The sequence below is a fragment of the Homo sapiens genome, chromosome 2 (genome assembly GCF_000001405.40).
Source record: "Homo sapiens chromosome 2, GRCh38.p14 Primary Assembly".
NCBI lineage: Eukaryota > Metazoa > Chordata > Mammalia > Primates > Hominidae > Homo > Homo sapiens.
Genome location: NC_000002.12, coordinates 216,897,840 through 216,913,449, shown reverse-complemented (window position 1 = coordinate 216,913,449; position 15,610 = coordinate 216,897,840). Strand labels below are relative to the sequence as shown.

The 15,610-nt window shown below is 42.6% G+C and overlaps 1 annotated feature.

Moving 5' to 3' along the window:
* Positions 3,670 to 3,964: a silencer, noted in NCBI's record as "tiled region #9678; K562 Repressive non-DNase unmatched - State 18:Pol2". NCBI's record gives its function as "represses a minimal TATA promoter and a strong SV40 promoter by Sharpr-MPRA in K562 cells {active_cell/tissue: K562}" and the evidence as "EXISTENCE:reporter gene assay evidence [ECO:0000049][PMID:27701403]".

The window sequence follows — 15,610 nt, the reverse complement described above, 5'->3', positions numbered from 1 at the left end:
TTTTGTATTTTTAGTAGAGACGGGGTTTCACCATGTTGGCCAGGATTGTCTCGAACTCCTGACCTCATGATCCGCCCACCTCCGCCTCCCAAAGTGCTGGGATTACAGGCGTGAGCCACCGCACCTGGCCACCTTGCCCCTTCTTATCCGTGCCTGTTCTCATTGGTGCCAGAGACACTTTTGCAGGTTTATCTCTCTAATAATCTTTACATAATTTAAACATGGAGCACCTGGCCCCCTGGGTGTCTGGATGACAGATGACTTCCCACCAATAAGCCAGATCACCAGTGTAGGCACTAATTCAGACAGGAGCAGATTGTGTTCAGCTGCCCTTTTCCACATGGCTTATTCTGGTATTGACTTGTTCTATGGCCCTTTCTTGACCAGGCACCATCAAGTCAGAAAAACACTGAAGAGACAGAGAAAACTACATGAATTAAGGAAAGAAAGGAAGAAGAAGAGGTTATCTGAAATTGAACTTACCAAGACTTAGCACTTGACTGGGAATCTCATTGTCTCTTCCCACAAGATATTTGTGAAGGTCATTATCTTTGTGGTCAGGAGGAAGAGACTTGAGCTTTGTGTCCACAGCCAGTTTGTCAAGATCAGGCCCATATCTGTTTCACGTTAAGCTGTGAACGATTCTTAAACTTTGTTTCACAGTACCTTAGAGTAGTTTTGAGTAAAGCAAATCCTTTCTTTAACCTAGGATTAAATCCTATTAGACTTCAATGAACAAGAGCCACCAGAATTGACTTTCTTTATCCTAGCCCATGGACAGTTACCTTCCCAATGTCTTGTGTGTACCACTGGTTCTCTTCAGGGAGCCAGACTATATTAAAACTGTGGATATCATCAGGAAAATATCACAGGTGAACCTCTAGGTCCCAAAGAGTGCTGGGACTCAGGACCCCATCCAGAGAGTGGATGAATTCTAGCCCTAGCCCTCCTCACCCAGGACCATGTGCTGGAGAAGAATGTGGTTCAGGCCATTGGAGGTAGGCCCGAGTGCTGCACAGGTAGGCTATCAGCCTCACCCTCCACTTCTCTCCTGGCCTCCCCTCTCAGAGCCTCCCAGGACTGGGAGGAGAAGGTGCCCCTCCAGGTGCTGATGCTGAGTTCTTTCTGGAGCATGTACAGCCTGACTAAAAAGGACCAGCTGTGTGAAATGGGAGGCAAAGCTCATAAATGACCTATGAATTTTACTCACTGCCATAAACACATCAGAATCATAAGAACTTGATAGTCCTTCACAACCTCCCCAGATGTCTCCCCCTTGGCATTGAGAAGAGAGCCTGAGAACCATGACCAGGGCCAATTTTGCCTGAGGCTCAGGCACATGCACCTCCTTCTAAGGGGATCTCCTGATGCCCATTAGTGACTCACTGATGAGAGCAGCAGCCCCAGAGTGACTGCAGAATTCTTCCTCCTCCTTCTGCATTGACCCAATGCCCAAACCCTGCCTGCCTGCTGAAGTGCACAGAATGGGTTTATGCATCATTCCTGAAGCCATGGCCCCTTTCAGTGATCAAAGGACTGTAAGTACCAAAAGTCCAATGTATTCACTACGATCACAAAGCACTCACCACTGTGGGCACCGTATTCTGCCTGTGATAAGAATCATCGCATTTAATCCTCAAAATAGCCCTATAAGGATGTTTGCAAATGAGCATGAGGGAGATTAAGAAAGAACGTTACCAAAGGTCCACGGCTAGAATGGTTGAGCTAGGATTTGGACCTGGGCAACCTGACTTAACTGCCACTCCATGAGGCCCCATGATATTTCACAGCTCTCAATAAATGTAGCTGGAGGTAGCTTTTGTCTGTTTGGAAAGACAAAACCATGATTTACACATCATGTTTTTAAGAACAAGCTCTCCCTAGGGAGATTGTGTTTTCCCAAGATCAGGCATCTAATTGGTCTGAGGGCCTAGGAGATGGGGGCCTCTTTGTCACCCCTCTTTTTGGGTAGCACTGCTAGAGAACAGCCTTATACTGAGAAGTCAGCAATCCTCCCCCACAGCCCATGCCCTACCTTCTGGGAGCCCCAGGTTTTACACACTAGGCAGGGTAACATGAAGGACAAAGGGTAAGGACTAGGAAATGGGAGTCCGGCCTCCCCATGTGTCCTTGGGCTCTCCTCAGACCCGGTGCTTAGAGATTGTGATTTGGGAACCAGAAGGAAGGGCAGGGACAGGCATCTGTCATCTTGGCTGTAAAGCTACTATCTCTCATGTTAGGCGTCTGGTACACACAACCTCTAAGGCACTATCCAGATGGGCCCAATCACCTCACTGCAGAAGCTAGATAACCACCACCAACATAGCAAGGGGCAGAATGATCCCTGAAATTAATTTGTGGATGCAGATTTTTGAGTTGTCAGGGGCCTTAGAATCACCCACTACAGCTCTGCCATTTTACAGATGAGGCAAATGAATTCTAGACAGTTGCTTTTGAATTCCTTTGTTAGGATAAATCCAGTCATGAGTAACTGAGTTCACATGTGTTCACTAGAGCTCCCACCACCTGCATCCAGGAACTCATCAGAACTTCTGTGAAGCTTTGAGCTGGCAGTCACAGGAACTCTTTGGCCCAGGAATATATATGTTCAAAGAAGCAGCATTCTAGAAAATGAGACAATCCTAAATAATGAGACCATATGATTTATTATCCAAACTGGCATGCTTTTCAGAGGGTTAGAGTAGGGCAAATCAAAAGAAACGGGGACGTACAGTCCCAAAACCATAAGAAATCTTAGAGTCCTTCTTGGTGGAGAAGGAAGCATTGTATAAGCATTGACTTAGGATGTAGAGGCCTGAGCTGGCTTATTCGTCAATAGATTCTTCCTGGACCCCAGAGCACCAATGGAGACAGCTAAGGGCCTGCACACTCACAGCCTAGATTTTGGTGGTTCAGCTCCTGTTACAATTAGATGTGTCTTTCACAAGCCATTGCCCCTCTCTGGGCCTCATTTTCATCTTCAGAAAATAAAAGCATTGAACCACATCACCTCTCAGGCCCCTCCCTTCAAGCTGTAGCGTCTGGGAATCTATAGGACCCCTGGCTGAGAGAGGGGGTCCCAGCACAGCAGCCTCCCACTTTGTCAGCCCAATGAACTAACAGCAGAACACATGGCTTGGCCCCTCAGGCTCCCCAGGCCCTGCCCTCACGCAGTCTGCCCCAGCTCCCCGCTACAACCTGTTGTTGCTCTTCCTGTTTGATGGATGGGAACATCCCTATGCTGGGGGACCCTGGGAAGGAACTGCAACACATGTGCACGGGCATTCACAAACACACATAAGAACTGGGATAAATATTAAAAGCCACAACATTCAAACAAGTGCAGAGGCCATGCCAAGAATCCTCTGGCACTGCCTCTGTGGAGCACCTGGTCATGTTTAACCCAAGCTGCAAATATGATTTCCAAGTGGGGACTCCCAGCAGGGATGGTGGGAGGCAGACTGGACGTCCTCAGCATGAGCCAGGCTAGTCTGAGTCACCCCATTCTCTCCTAAGGGACAGGTTCCACCCCTGCCAGGCAACATCTGACAAAGAGGGAGAGTGCAATCCCTCCAGGTCTTCACCATGTCCTCACTTTGGATGTGCTCTTTTACCTAAGTTCTGCCACCACCTCCCTGGGAGCCAGCAGATGGGGAAACAGAAGGGAGATGGCTGGTAGAGCCCACTGGCTTCCCTCGGAGCACCTCAGCCTAATAGAAGTTGTCATGTGTCAGCTCAGGACATGAGCAGAGCCCTCCCGGGCAGCAGCTGCTCCAGCAGCTTACAGCCAAAATGGTGCTGATGTGAGGGAGGCCCAGCTCCGAGGCCGGACAGAGGAAGGAGCACAAGACCCGTGGCACAAAAACAACCAAACAACAGGTGAAGGGGAAACGGACTGTGCATACAAAGTTGACCTCCTGCCTTTAGCTGGCTTGGACCTCAGTGTTAAGGATGCCACCTTTCAGATGTGGTGAGCAACAAAAGCAGGAAGGGCCAGATAATTTGGAACCAACTGCTAAGCTTTGTTCAACTTTTCCTGAAAATCCCAGATCTTCAAGTTACAGATCCAGAGGGATCATGGTATCTGACGCTCTCATTCTGCAGATGAGCACCCACACTTATGTAGGTTCCAAGGACCCATCCCGTGTGGTTCAGCTAGCAGAGCCTGAGTCATCCAGCCCAGCATTTTGCTTTGTACTTACTCCTTACCAATAAGAATATAAACATCATAATGGGATCAACTATGGATTTATTCATTTACTCTCTATTCAAAGTATCATAATTCTTTGGTTTTGAATTTTTACAGATCTCAAAATATCACATTTTTGCAAGTAACTGTACTAAATTTTGTAAAGTGGGCTATTCCAATAACAATCTTTAATAGCTAAAGAAAGTTTAGAAGTCCGTTTAAAAACTTAAATTTTAAGGAAACTATAGCATTTTATCAAATGCTGAATTTTCTTTATAACTAGCCAAGACATACTAATTGTTTCTGACCCTCCAGTTCCCCTTAATGAAGCATTTGAATTTAGAGAACATGGGTCTATCTGTGTTTTACATATTCCTCATCCAAGATGTCTTGTGTTCCAGTGAGCTCTTCTGTTGAGAATAATCAGAAAAGGTGGTAAGTCTTTGCAAGAAATAGGTAAAAGAGGTAAAATCGTTAAGAAAAAGTTGAAAGTTTTGCAAAGAAGTCATGAAAGAGAGAAGAGCACCAGTAATCACTATTACAGGAGGAAGGGAATTGATGGGTGCGGGGGTACTGGCTAAGACTTCCAGAGGGCTAAGCCTTTGAAATCACATGTGTTGAGGAGGCTTGAGAAAGGCCCATGCAGTTCTCCAAGCAAGTTCAATAAAAGTTAACCGAAGCATTCAAACATTCCAACTGACCAGGGCCCACTGTGTTTCCACAGACTGCCTTAGCATCCCAGTTGTAAAATCACATTGGCCATTGTGTGGCGAGCAGATGCAGAAAACATGCCTTTTAACTCGCTCATTATAGGAAGCAAAGCAAAATGACCATCTAGCCTGTCATTAAAACAGCAGGGGAGTGAAAGCTTGAAAAGTTCTAGCAAACGGGGAAATAAATGGAAATTGAATGGATAATAGTGGATATACCGTACCAAGAAGATGTGTATCATGTCTTTTAAAAAGGCAGAGCACTAAGTAAGGGTGCCATATTTTTAGTGAATATATTTATTCATTATCTAGTCCCATATAAATTTTCATGTTCCCTCAGAATCCCCCTTTTTTTTGAATTTTTAAGTTTGTTAATAGTAAACTGGTAAATTTTCTTACTCCGTATGTGTTTTTTTTGTTGTTGTTGTTTTTTAAGGAAACTTGCCTTCCTCTTAAGGGAAACAAACACACATACACACACACACAATTAGGACAAATCAGGAGTATGACTGATCAGTAACAAACCTGGATAATTAGGGAATGACAAAGCCTTCATGTGGGGGTTCACATATGCCCACAGTGCAAAGGGAGATGTCTGGGTGACATGGTGACCAGGCAGCTGGTCTAAGGGCTGGTAATTGTTTTAACTAGCTCTCTGGTTTGAAAGACAGCACACTGGAGATACAGACCTGAAACTGATTCTCCTTTCTACACCTCCTTAGCTTTGGAACTTTGGATGAGCTATTTACATTCTGTGAGCTTTCATTCCTTCACTTATAAAGCTAAGAAAATAATGCCTACTTCACAGCACTGTGGTGAGGATTACATGAAGTGATGTTTATAGAAAGCAGCTTGTGTGCTATAAATTGCTTTGCAATTTATAATTGCAATGGCTAAAACTCCAAATCTATGTCAGTTTGGAATCTGAAAAGTGATTAAAAAAAAACAACTTTCTATTAGAAAACAAGAGGACATGTGCAGTGGCTCATGCCTATAATCCCAATACTTTGTGAGGCCAAGGTGAGAGGATAGCTTGAGGCCAGGAATTTGAGACCAGCCTGGGCAACACAGTAAGACCCCGTCTCTACAAAAAAAAAAAAAAAAAAAAAAAAAAAAAAAAAAAAATTAACTAGTTGGATGTAGTGGCATGCACCTGTAGTCCCGGGTACTCAGGAGGCTGAGGCGGGAGAGTAGCTTGGGCCCAGGAGTTAGAGGCTATGGCAATCTACGATCACGCCACTGTGCTCCTGCCTGGGTGACAGAGGGAGACTCTTTCTCAAAACAAAATAAAAGAACACAAGAGAATTCAAATTGGACATCAGAAAGCCCAATCTACCCCCATGAGGCCTGCTGAAAACTAGAAACAAGTTGATAGAAGTTAATCAAGATTCCTTCTGAGGAGAGTTTTCTTTGCACGAGGTTGTTCCACTTCTAAGGAGGGTAAAGAATGCTATTTCTTCCTTTTTTTTTTTTTTTGCTTTGTTCTTTGCATTTTAAAAATTTGTATAAATTCAAGGGGTCCAAGGGCCATTCTGTTACATGGATATATTGCATAGTGGTGAAGCCTGAGGTTTTAGTGTACTCAGTGCCTGAATAATGTGCGTTGTACCCATGAAGTAATTTCACATCCCTAAGCCCCCCACCTTCCCACCCTTTTGAGTTTCCAATGTCTGTCATTCTGTACTCTATGTCCACGTGTACACATTATTTAGCTTCCACTTATAAGTGGGAACATGCAGTATTTGACTTCCTGTTTCTGTGTTGTTAAGATAGTGGCCTCCAGTTCCATCCACGTTGCTGCAAAAGACATGTTTTTATTCTTTTTTATGGCTGAATAGTATTCCACTGTCTCTATATACCACGTTTTCTTGATCCATTCATCAGCTGTTGGACACTTAGGTTCCTTCTATTTGGAAAGAAGGTTGACGAAGTGGAAACTTTTCAATTAAGGGCACCTTCAGAAACACCACTGGTCTTATTTATTATCTACTTCAATACCTATGGTGATCTTAATGATCATTAGAGTAATAGCTTTCAGCTATTGAGAACTTACTGCATTGAACATACCAACAGCAAGCTTATATGTACTTAGCTGTATTCCTCACAATCCCCATCCCACCCATGCAAGGCAAGAGTTATGTTTTTCTGTTTACAGATGAGAAAACTGTTCAGCCATCTTAAATAATTCATCAGTGGTGACACAGCTAGTAGTAGAGCTAGGAATTTGGCCTCGATGTATTTAAGTCCAAAGTTTTTTTTTTCCAATTATGCCAAACACCTGTATTGGTTTTCCATTTGCTCCATAAACAATTACAACAAACTATGCACCTTAAGAAACATATATTTATTATCTCATGGCTTCTGTGGGTCAGGATTCTGGGCACAGCTTATCTGGGTCCCCTGCTCAAGGTCTCACCAGACTGCAGGAAAGATATTGGCCAGGCTGCACTCTCATCTGAGGCTTGACTAGAGGATTTTATCAACTCAGCAAGGAGAATCTCTTACCTTAGCTGGGGCCTAGTCTCTCTTTGAAGAGCTTTTACCTGATTAAGTAATACCCACATAGGATAATTTCCCTTTAGATTAACTTAAAATTAACTGACTTCAGGACCTTCCTTATATCTGCTATGATTATATTGGCTAGAAGAAACTTTCATGTCCCACCTACGCTCACGGGAGGGAATTATGCAATATGTGACCACCAGGGGATAGGAATCATCAGGGCAACCTGAGAATTCTGCCTGCCACATTGTCTCCCTTAAGTTGTGGTTGCAGGAGATGCAATCACAAAGAACACAAACCTGAAGTAGAAAGGGAATTGCCAGTTCGGTTCTGCCTTGACAGTTTGCTGTGGAATTGTGGTTAGTCCAATGCTAAAATGCTAGTTTGTCCTTAATGTCAGCAGCAATAAAATAGTCTAGAATTTGGTCTGGAAGAACAGAGGCTGTCAACCCTGGCTGCTATTAGAATCACCTGGGGGAGGTTTTGAAACATAAGCATGCTCCCCCAGAGATCCTGATTTAGGTGGTGTGGGGTGGTGCCTGAGCATCTTTTGTTGCTTTTGCTTTTAACTTCCTGAGTCCCTAATGTGCAGTCAAATTGAGAATATCTGGAGCAGTGATGGCCAAGGTGGGATGTGTTTATTCCAAGAGTATGTACAAGACAGTCTCCTGGGATGTGAGAATGAAATCTTCAAATTTCTAGAAAAAATGTATTTTTAGGTTTAAAAATAAAAGAGAAAAATACTTTAGACTTCTACTTTCTAGTCTGACACATAAAGAGCTTGAAAGTCATCACTCCCATCCTCACAAACAAGAGCAAAGCAGAACAAACTGAATATCAACAACTTGTTTTAGATTCCCCAAGGAATTGAGTCACAGGGAAAACCACTGCTCCAGCTCTGAAGAGACAGGTGCATACATAAAGTCATGGCTTACTGGAAGCAGAAGCCCAGAAGGAGAAGTCAAAGCTGTCAGCTGCAGCCAATATCAATAGGAATGCTTTAAATTATAATCGATGATTTGCTGGAGGCTCTGTGTAGATTTGCTTGAGAGTTAACATCTCTGAGGGGGCCCAGTCTTAGAAAGGGCCCCATGCTTTTCCTGAGTTTTACCTCACACCACCAGGTTTTTATTGTAAAGGTCAGACAAAAATATCCCCTGGGAGAGAGCGGGACTGGGCAGTAACCATTATGAAATATATTAATAGGCAGAACTTTCTATTCTCCTTAACAAGGCTTACCCTCACCCTCAAGGGAAACAGTGTTACTTAAGCCTAACCAACTGGGGCTTTACCAAAGTCTGACCAACCAGAGGAAAACAATATATATCTGACTTTGACTCATGAAAAGACTGAGACCCAGCCAGAGTGCTATAGACTGTTTCCCTTCCTCCCACATTTTACCATATCAATAATGCATGTTATAATAACAGAGTATTGCAGTTCAAAGAAATGTACGTTTCAAACCCTACTTAAGGGATTTCTAGGAAAACCTAAAGACAACAGGAAAGACAAAAATAAGAACACTAGAGAAAAGTTTGGCCTTTGACACCCAGGAAAGAATCAGTGAACTTGAACAAATGTCAATAAAAACTTTTAAAATTGAAATGCAGGGAAAAAAAGAACAAAAAAATACAACAATGTATTCAGGGACTGTGGGACAATTATAAAAGATACATACACAATGAGAATACCAGTAAGGAAAACAGAAAAAAAGGAAGAAATGAAATATTTCAAGTAATAATGGCTGAGAATTTTTCAAAATTAATGACAGACAGCAAGCCACAGACCCAGGAAGCCCCCCCCACCCCAAAAAAAAACACTAAGCAGAATACAAAAAAATATACAATAGGCATATCATATGTGAACTGCAAAAAATCAAAGACAAAGAGAAAATCTTGAAAGAAGCCAGAGGGGGCAATACAATCTTAACCTACAGGGGAACAGAATAGGAATTAGATTGGACTTCTCTTCAGAAGCTATGCAAGCAAGAAGGTAATGGAGTGAAATATTTAAAGTGTTGAAATAAGAAACCACTGTAAAACCAAAGAAAATGACTGAAGCAAATCTCAGTCAATTTAGAGATTTATATTGTCAAGGTTGAGGACGTGCCTGGGAAAAAAGAACACAAAATCACATGAACATCTGTGATCTGTGCTTTGTCCAGAGGGTTTGGGGACTTCAATATTTCTAGTAGAAAGAATGAGCAGTAGCGGGGAAAGGAAAGGGAAAACAGGGAGGGTAGATAGAAGAGGCAAGTGGTTGCATTCTTTTGAGGCTTTGATCAGTGTTCACTGAATTTACATTTTACATGTGAAAAGAGGGGGTTGATGTGGTTTGGGTGTTTGCTCTCTCCAAATCTTATGTTGTAATGTGGTCCCCACTACTGGAGGTGGAGCCTAGTGGGAGGGGTTTGGGTCATGGGGGCAGATCCTTCGTGGCTTACTGCTGTCCTTGTGATAGTGAGTTCTCTCAAGATTTGGTTGTTTAACAATGTGTGACATCTTGCCCCTCACTCTCTCGCTTGCTCCCACCCTTGCCATGTAATGTTCCTGTTCCCACTTTGCCTTCTGCCATGAGTAAAGCTCCTTGAGGCCTTCCCAGGAGCCTAGCAGATGCCAGTGCCATGCTTTCTATATAGCCTTCAGAACCATGAGCAAATTAAACTGCTTTTCTTTATAAATTACCTAGTCTCAAGTATTGCTTTATAGCATTGTTCTTGAAGTTAGGCTGCAAGAACAGCCTAACACATAAAATTGGTCGTGAGAGTGGGACATTGGTATAAAGATACCTGAAAATGTGGAAGCAACTTTGGAACTTGGTAACAGAGGCTTAACAAGTTCAGAGGACTCAGAAGAAGGCAGGAAGATGAGGGAAAGTTTGGAAACTCTTAGGGACTGGTTAGATGGTGGTGACCAAATTTCTGATACTGATATAAACAGTGAAATCCAGGTTGCTGAGGTCTCAGATGGAAATGAGGAACTTATTGGGAACTGGAGCAAAGGTCACCCATGTTATGTCTTAGCAAAGAACATGGCTGTACTGTGTTCATGTCCTAGGGATCTGTGGAAGTTTGAACTTAAGAGTAATGACTTAAGGTATCTGATGGAAGAAATTGCTCAACAGCAAAGCATTCAAGATACGGCCTGGCTGCTTCTAACAGCCTATCTCAGATGCAGGAGCAAAGAAATGACTTAAAGTTGGAAGTTATATTTAAAGAGAAAGCAGAGTGTAAAAGTTTGAAAAATTGATCAGGACAAATATCCATACCATATTCTGCTCTTAGCCCCACAATCTCATGTCCTTCTTGCATTTCAAAATACAATCATCCCTTCTCAATAGTCCCCCAAAGTCTTAACTCATTCAGCGTTAAGTCAAAAGTCCCAAGTCCTAAGTCCAGAGTCTCATCAGGAAATGAGTTTCTTAAATCTATGTGCCCATAAAATCAATACAAGCTATTTACTTTCAAGATACAATGAGGATACTGACACTGGGTAAACATTCCCATTTTGAAAGGGAGAAATTGACCAAAAGAAAGGAGCTACAGGTCCCATGCTATTCTGAAACCTAGCAGGGCAGTCATTAATTTTTTTTTTTTTTTTTTTTTTTTGAGATGGAGTCTCGCTCTGTTGCCAGGCTGGAGTGCAGTGGCGTCATCTCGGCTATCTGCAACCTCCACCTCCTGGGTTCAGGTTCAAGGTATTTTCCTGCCTCAGCCTCCCGAGTAGCTGGGACTACAGGCGTGTGCCACCACACCCAGCTAATTTTTAAATTTTTAGTAGAGATGGGGTTTCACCTTGTTGGCCAGCATGGTCTCGATCCCTTGACCTCATGATCCACCTGTCTCGGCCTCCCAAAGTGCTGGGATTACAGGCATGAGCCACTGCGCCTGGCCCATTAAATCTTAGAGCTCCAAAATAATCTTTTGATTCCATGTCCCACATCCAGGGCACACTACTGCAAGAAATAGGCTCCCAAAGCCTTGGCAGCTCTGCCTCTGTGTCTTTGTAGGGCACAGTCCCTGTAGATGCCTCATGGGTTGGAGTTGAAAAAGTTGTGCTTTTTCCATGTGCATGATGTGAGCTGCTTGGTAGATCTATCATTCTGGGGTCTGGAGGACAGGGGCCCCTCCCCCTAGCTCCATGAGGAAGTGTGTGGGCTCCGTGTGGAGCCTCCAACCCCATATTTACTCTCAGAACTGTCCTAGTAGAGGTTCTCTGTGAGGGCTACAGCAGGCTTCTGTCTGGACACCCAAGCTTTTCCATACATCCTCTGAAATTTAGATTGAGGCTGCCAAGCCTCCTTTACCCTTGTACCCTGCAAGCCTGCAAATTTAACATCACGTGGAAGCCACAAAGGCTTATGGCTTGCAACCTCTGAAGCAGTGGCTGGAGGTATACCTGAAGCCCTTTTAGCTGAGGCTGGAGCTGGAGCATCCTGGATGCAGGGAGCAGTATTCTAAGGCTGTAAACGGCAGCAGGGCTCTGGGCCTGGCCTACAAAATCATTCTTTCCTCATAGGCCTGTAGCTCTGTGATAGGAGGGTCAGACTGGAAGACTTCTAAAATGCCTTCACGGTCTTTTCCCCATTGCCTTGGCTACCAGCATCTGGCTTTCTTTCAATCATGCAAATATCTCTAACAAGTGGCTGCTTTGCAGCCTGCTTGAATTTCTCTCCTGATAATGCTTTTTTGTGTCTGCCACATGGCCAGGCTGCTCTAGCTCCAGCCTCAGCTCAAAAGGCTCCAGGTACACCTCTAGCCACTGCTTCAGAGGTTGCAAGCCATAAGCCTTTGTGGCTTCCACGTGGTGTTAAATTTGCAAGTTCGCAGGGTGTAAGAGTAAAGGAGGCTTGGCAGCCTCATCCTATATTTCAGAGGATGTATGGAAAAGCCTGGGTGTCCAGGCAGAAGCCTGCTGCAACCCTCACAGAGAACCTCTACTAGGGTAGTTCTGAGGGTAAATATGGGGTTGGAGGCTCCACCCAGAGTTCCCACTGGGGCACTTCCTCGTGGAGCTGAGGGAAGGGGCAACTGTTCTCCAGACCCTGGAATGATAGATCCTCCACGCAGCTCACATCATGTATGTGGAAAAAGCACAAGCACTCAACTCTAATCCGTGAGGCAGCTATGGGGACTTTGCCCTACAAAGACACAGAGGCAGAGCTGCCAAGGCTTTGGGAGCCCATTTCTTGCAGCAGTGTGCCCTGGATGTGGGACATGGAATCAAAGGAGATTTTGGAACTTTAAGATTTAATGACTGCCCTGCTAGGTTTAAGACTTGCATGGGGCCTGTAGCCCCTTTCTTTTGGCCAATTTCTCCCCTTTGGAATGGGAATGTTTACCCAGTGTCAGTACCCTCATTGTATCTTAGAAGTAAATTACTTGTTTTGATTTTACAGGCACATAGATTTAAGGAAATCATTTCCTGATGAAACTTTGGACTTAGGACTTGGGACTTTGGACTTAACACTGGAATGAGTTAAGACTTTGGAGGACTATTGAGATTGTATTTTGAAATGCAAGAAGGACATGAGATTTGTGGGGCTAAGAGCAGAAGATGGTATAGATATTTGTCCTGACCAAATCTCATTTTGAAATGTGGTCCCCAAAGTTGGAGGTGGGGCCTAGTGGGAAGGATTTCAGTAGTAATGGCAGATCCTTCATGGTTTGATGCTGTCCTCATGATAGTGAGCTCTTGCAAGATCTGGTTGTTTAAAAGTGTGTGGCATCTTGCCCCTCACTGTCTCTCTTGCTCCCACTGCTGCCATGTAACATGCCTGCTCCTGCTTCACCTTCTGCCATGAGTAAAAGCTCCCTGAGCCTTCCCAGAAGCCTAGAAATTGCCAGCACCATGTTTCCTGTCCAGCCTGCAGACGTGAGCCAGTTAAACCTCTTTTCTTTATAAATTACCCAGTCTCAGGTATTTCTTTATAGCAGTGCAAAAATAGCCTAACAGAGGGTTAGAGGAACAGAAAACTATGCATTCATCTGTCATTCAGTGAATCTGAATTTTCACATCAAAGAATCAAACATAGAGCAGAGGAAGTAGTGAAATACACATTTATCTCAGGTGAATGGAGGAATGACTTCTAGTCCTGTCTGTCCTGTACCTGTGAGGATAAGCTGTTGATTTACATTGTCAGGGTGAAATTCAACAGAACTCTGTTTTAGGGTAAAGATCTTCGGCCCCTAAAAAAGTTTTCTTGTGAGCAAATTGTGAGGGAGCCCCCTGACCCCAGGGGGGTATGTGGCCTTTCTATTTTTGCAGCTATCTATATTTAGGAACAAAATAGGAGGCAGTTTGCACCACTCAGTTCCAAGCTTAACTTTGCCCTATGGCATAGTGAGTTCGGGGTTCTGAAATTTTATTTTCCATTTATACCACCAACCTAAAATTTTATATTCAGCAAAAATATCCTTCAAAACAAAGGTAAAATAAAGACTGGGCTTTCTTAGACAAATGAAAATTGAGGGAATTTGTCATCAATAGACCTGCAATTAATGTTAAGTTCTTCAGAGAAAAGGAAAATTATATAGGTCAGAAACGTGGATCTACATAAAGAAAGAGTATTAGAGAGGATTAAATGAAGGTAAAATAAAATGCTTTATTTTTCTTATCTTAATCTAACAGATAACAATTTGTTCAAAATAATGTTACCAAAAATGTATTTGATAATTATAGCTTATGGGTAAGTGCAATGAGTGACAGCAACGTTGTAAGGGACAAGAGGAAGAATTAAGAATACTTTGTTGTTAAAAGGTATTTGCACCACCCATAAAATGGTATAGTGTCATTTGATAGTAGTCTTGAATTTGTTGTAAATATACACCACAAACTCTAGGGCAGCCACTTTTTAAAAAGTGTAATTTATACACTAAGGGGAGAAAATGGAATTATATTAAATATTCAATTAAAATAAGAGAAGGCAGAAAAAAAGTAGAAGACAAAAAAGAAACAAAGAATGAGGCAAATGAGTGGAAAATTGTTGTAAATATGATAGATGTTAATACAACTATGTTAATAATCACTTTAAGTGTAAGAGACTGTCAGAACGAATAAAAAAGAAGTCCCAACTATATATTGTCTACAAGAAGCTTTAATGATATGCAATATTAATAGAAAAGCAACTACACAATTCATAAGTACACATATTAGGCTATATACTCAAAATCTTTTTTTAAAGGTGGGAGCAAGTGATCCAAACTGTTTAAAAGCTACTTATCTAGAGTAGAACACTTCTCAAATTTCATTGTGCATAGGAATCACCTGGAGACATTGTTACAATGCAGATTTTGGATCACTGAGCTTAAGATGGAGCTGAAATTCTGCACTTCAAAAGAGAACCCCACGGATTTGGATGCTGGCCTTCCTCAGACCTCACTTTGAGTGGCAAGGGTGTAGAAGATGTATTTCAAACCCCAATAACTGTCACTGCATCTAAGAAAGAAACCTAAGATCTGTATTAGTGACAGTTTTCCCTTCCCTGCAATGATACTGCATTCATATACTACTGGTGAACTTTTTTTTTTAATATTTTAGGGCAAACAGAAATAAGACTGTATCTAAATGGTAAGAAAAAAAGAAAAAAAGAAGAATAGAGGAAGGGAAGGAGAAAGAAAGAAGAGAATAAGGAATGAAAAGAGGAGGTGCTATGATATGAATATTTCTTTTTGTCAGAACTCATGTTGAAATTTAATTGCCCCATTGTGACAATTTTGGGAGGTAGGATCTTTAAGAGGTGTTTGGGTCATGAGGTCACCACACTCATGATGGACTAACACTATTATCACAGAAGTGGATTTCTTATCTCAGGAGTGGGCTCACTCCATCTTTTGCTCTCTTTCACTATCTCTCTGCCTTCTCTTTGGCCACCATGTGATGCCTTCTGCCATGCTATGATGCAGCAAAAAAGCCCTAGCAAGGTGCCAGCACCTTGATATTGGACTTCCCAGCCTCCAGAGCTGTGAGCCAACAAATTTCTGTTCTTCATAACTTACCCAGTCTCAAGCATTCTGTTATAGCAGCACAAAATGGACTAAGACAGGAAGTAATGAGTTAGAATACAGGAAAACATTACTCTGTCTTTGAGGTCATGAATCAAAGTTATACAGAAAGTAAAACTTATAAAGATTTAAAAAATCAAGATTTTACTTTTATGACTCATTCAGACCATTTTAAGACTTATGATTACACTATAAGGAATATTTTGA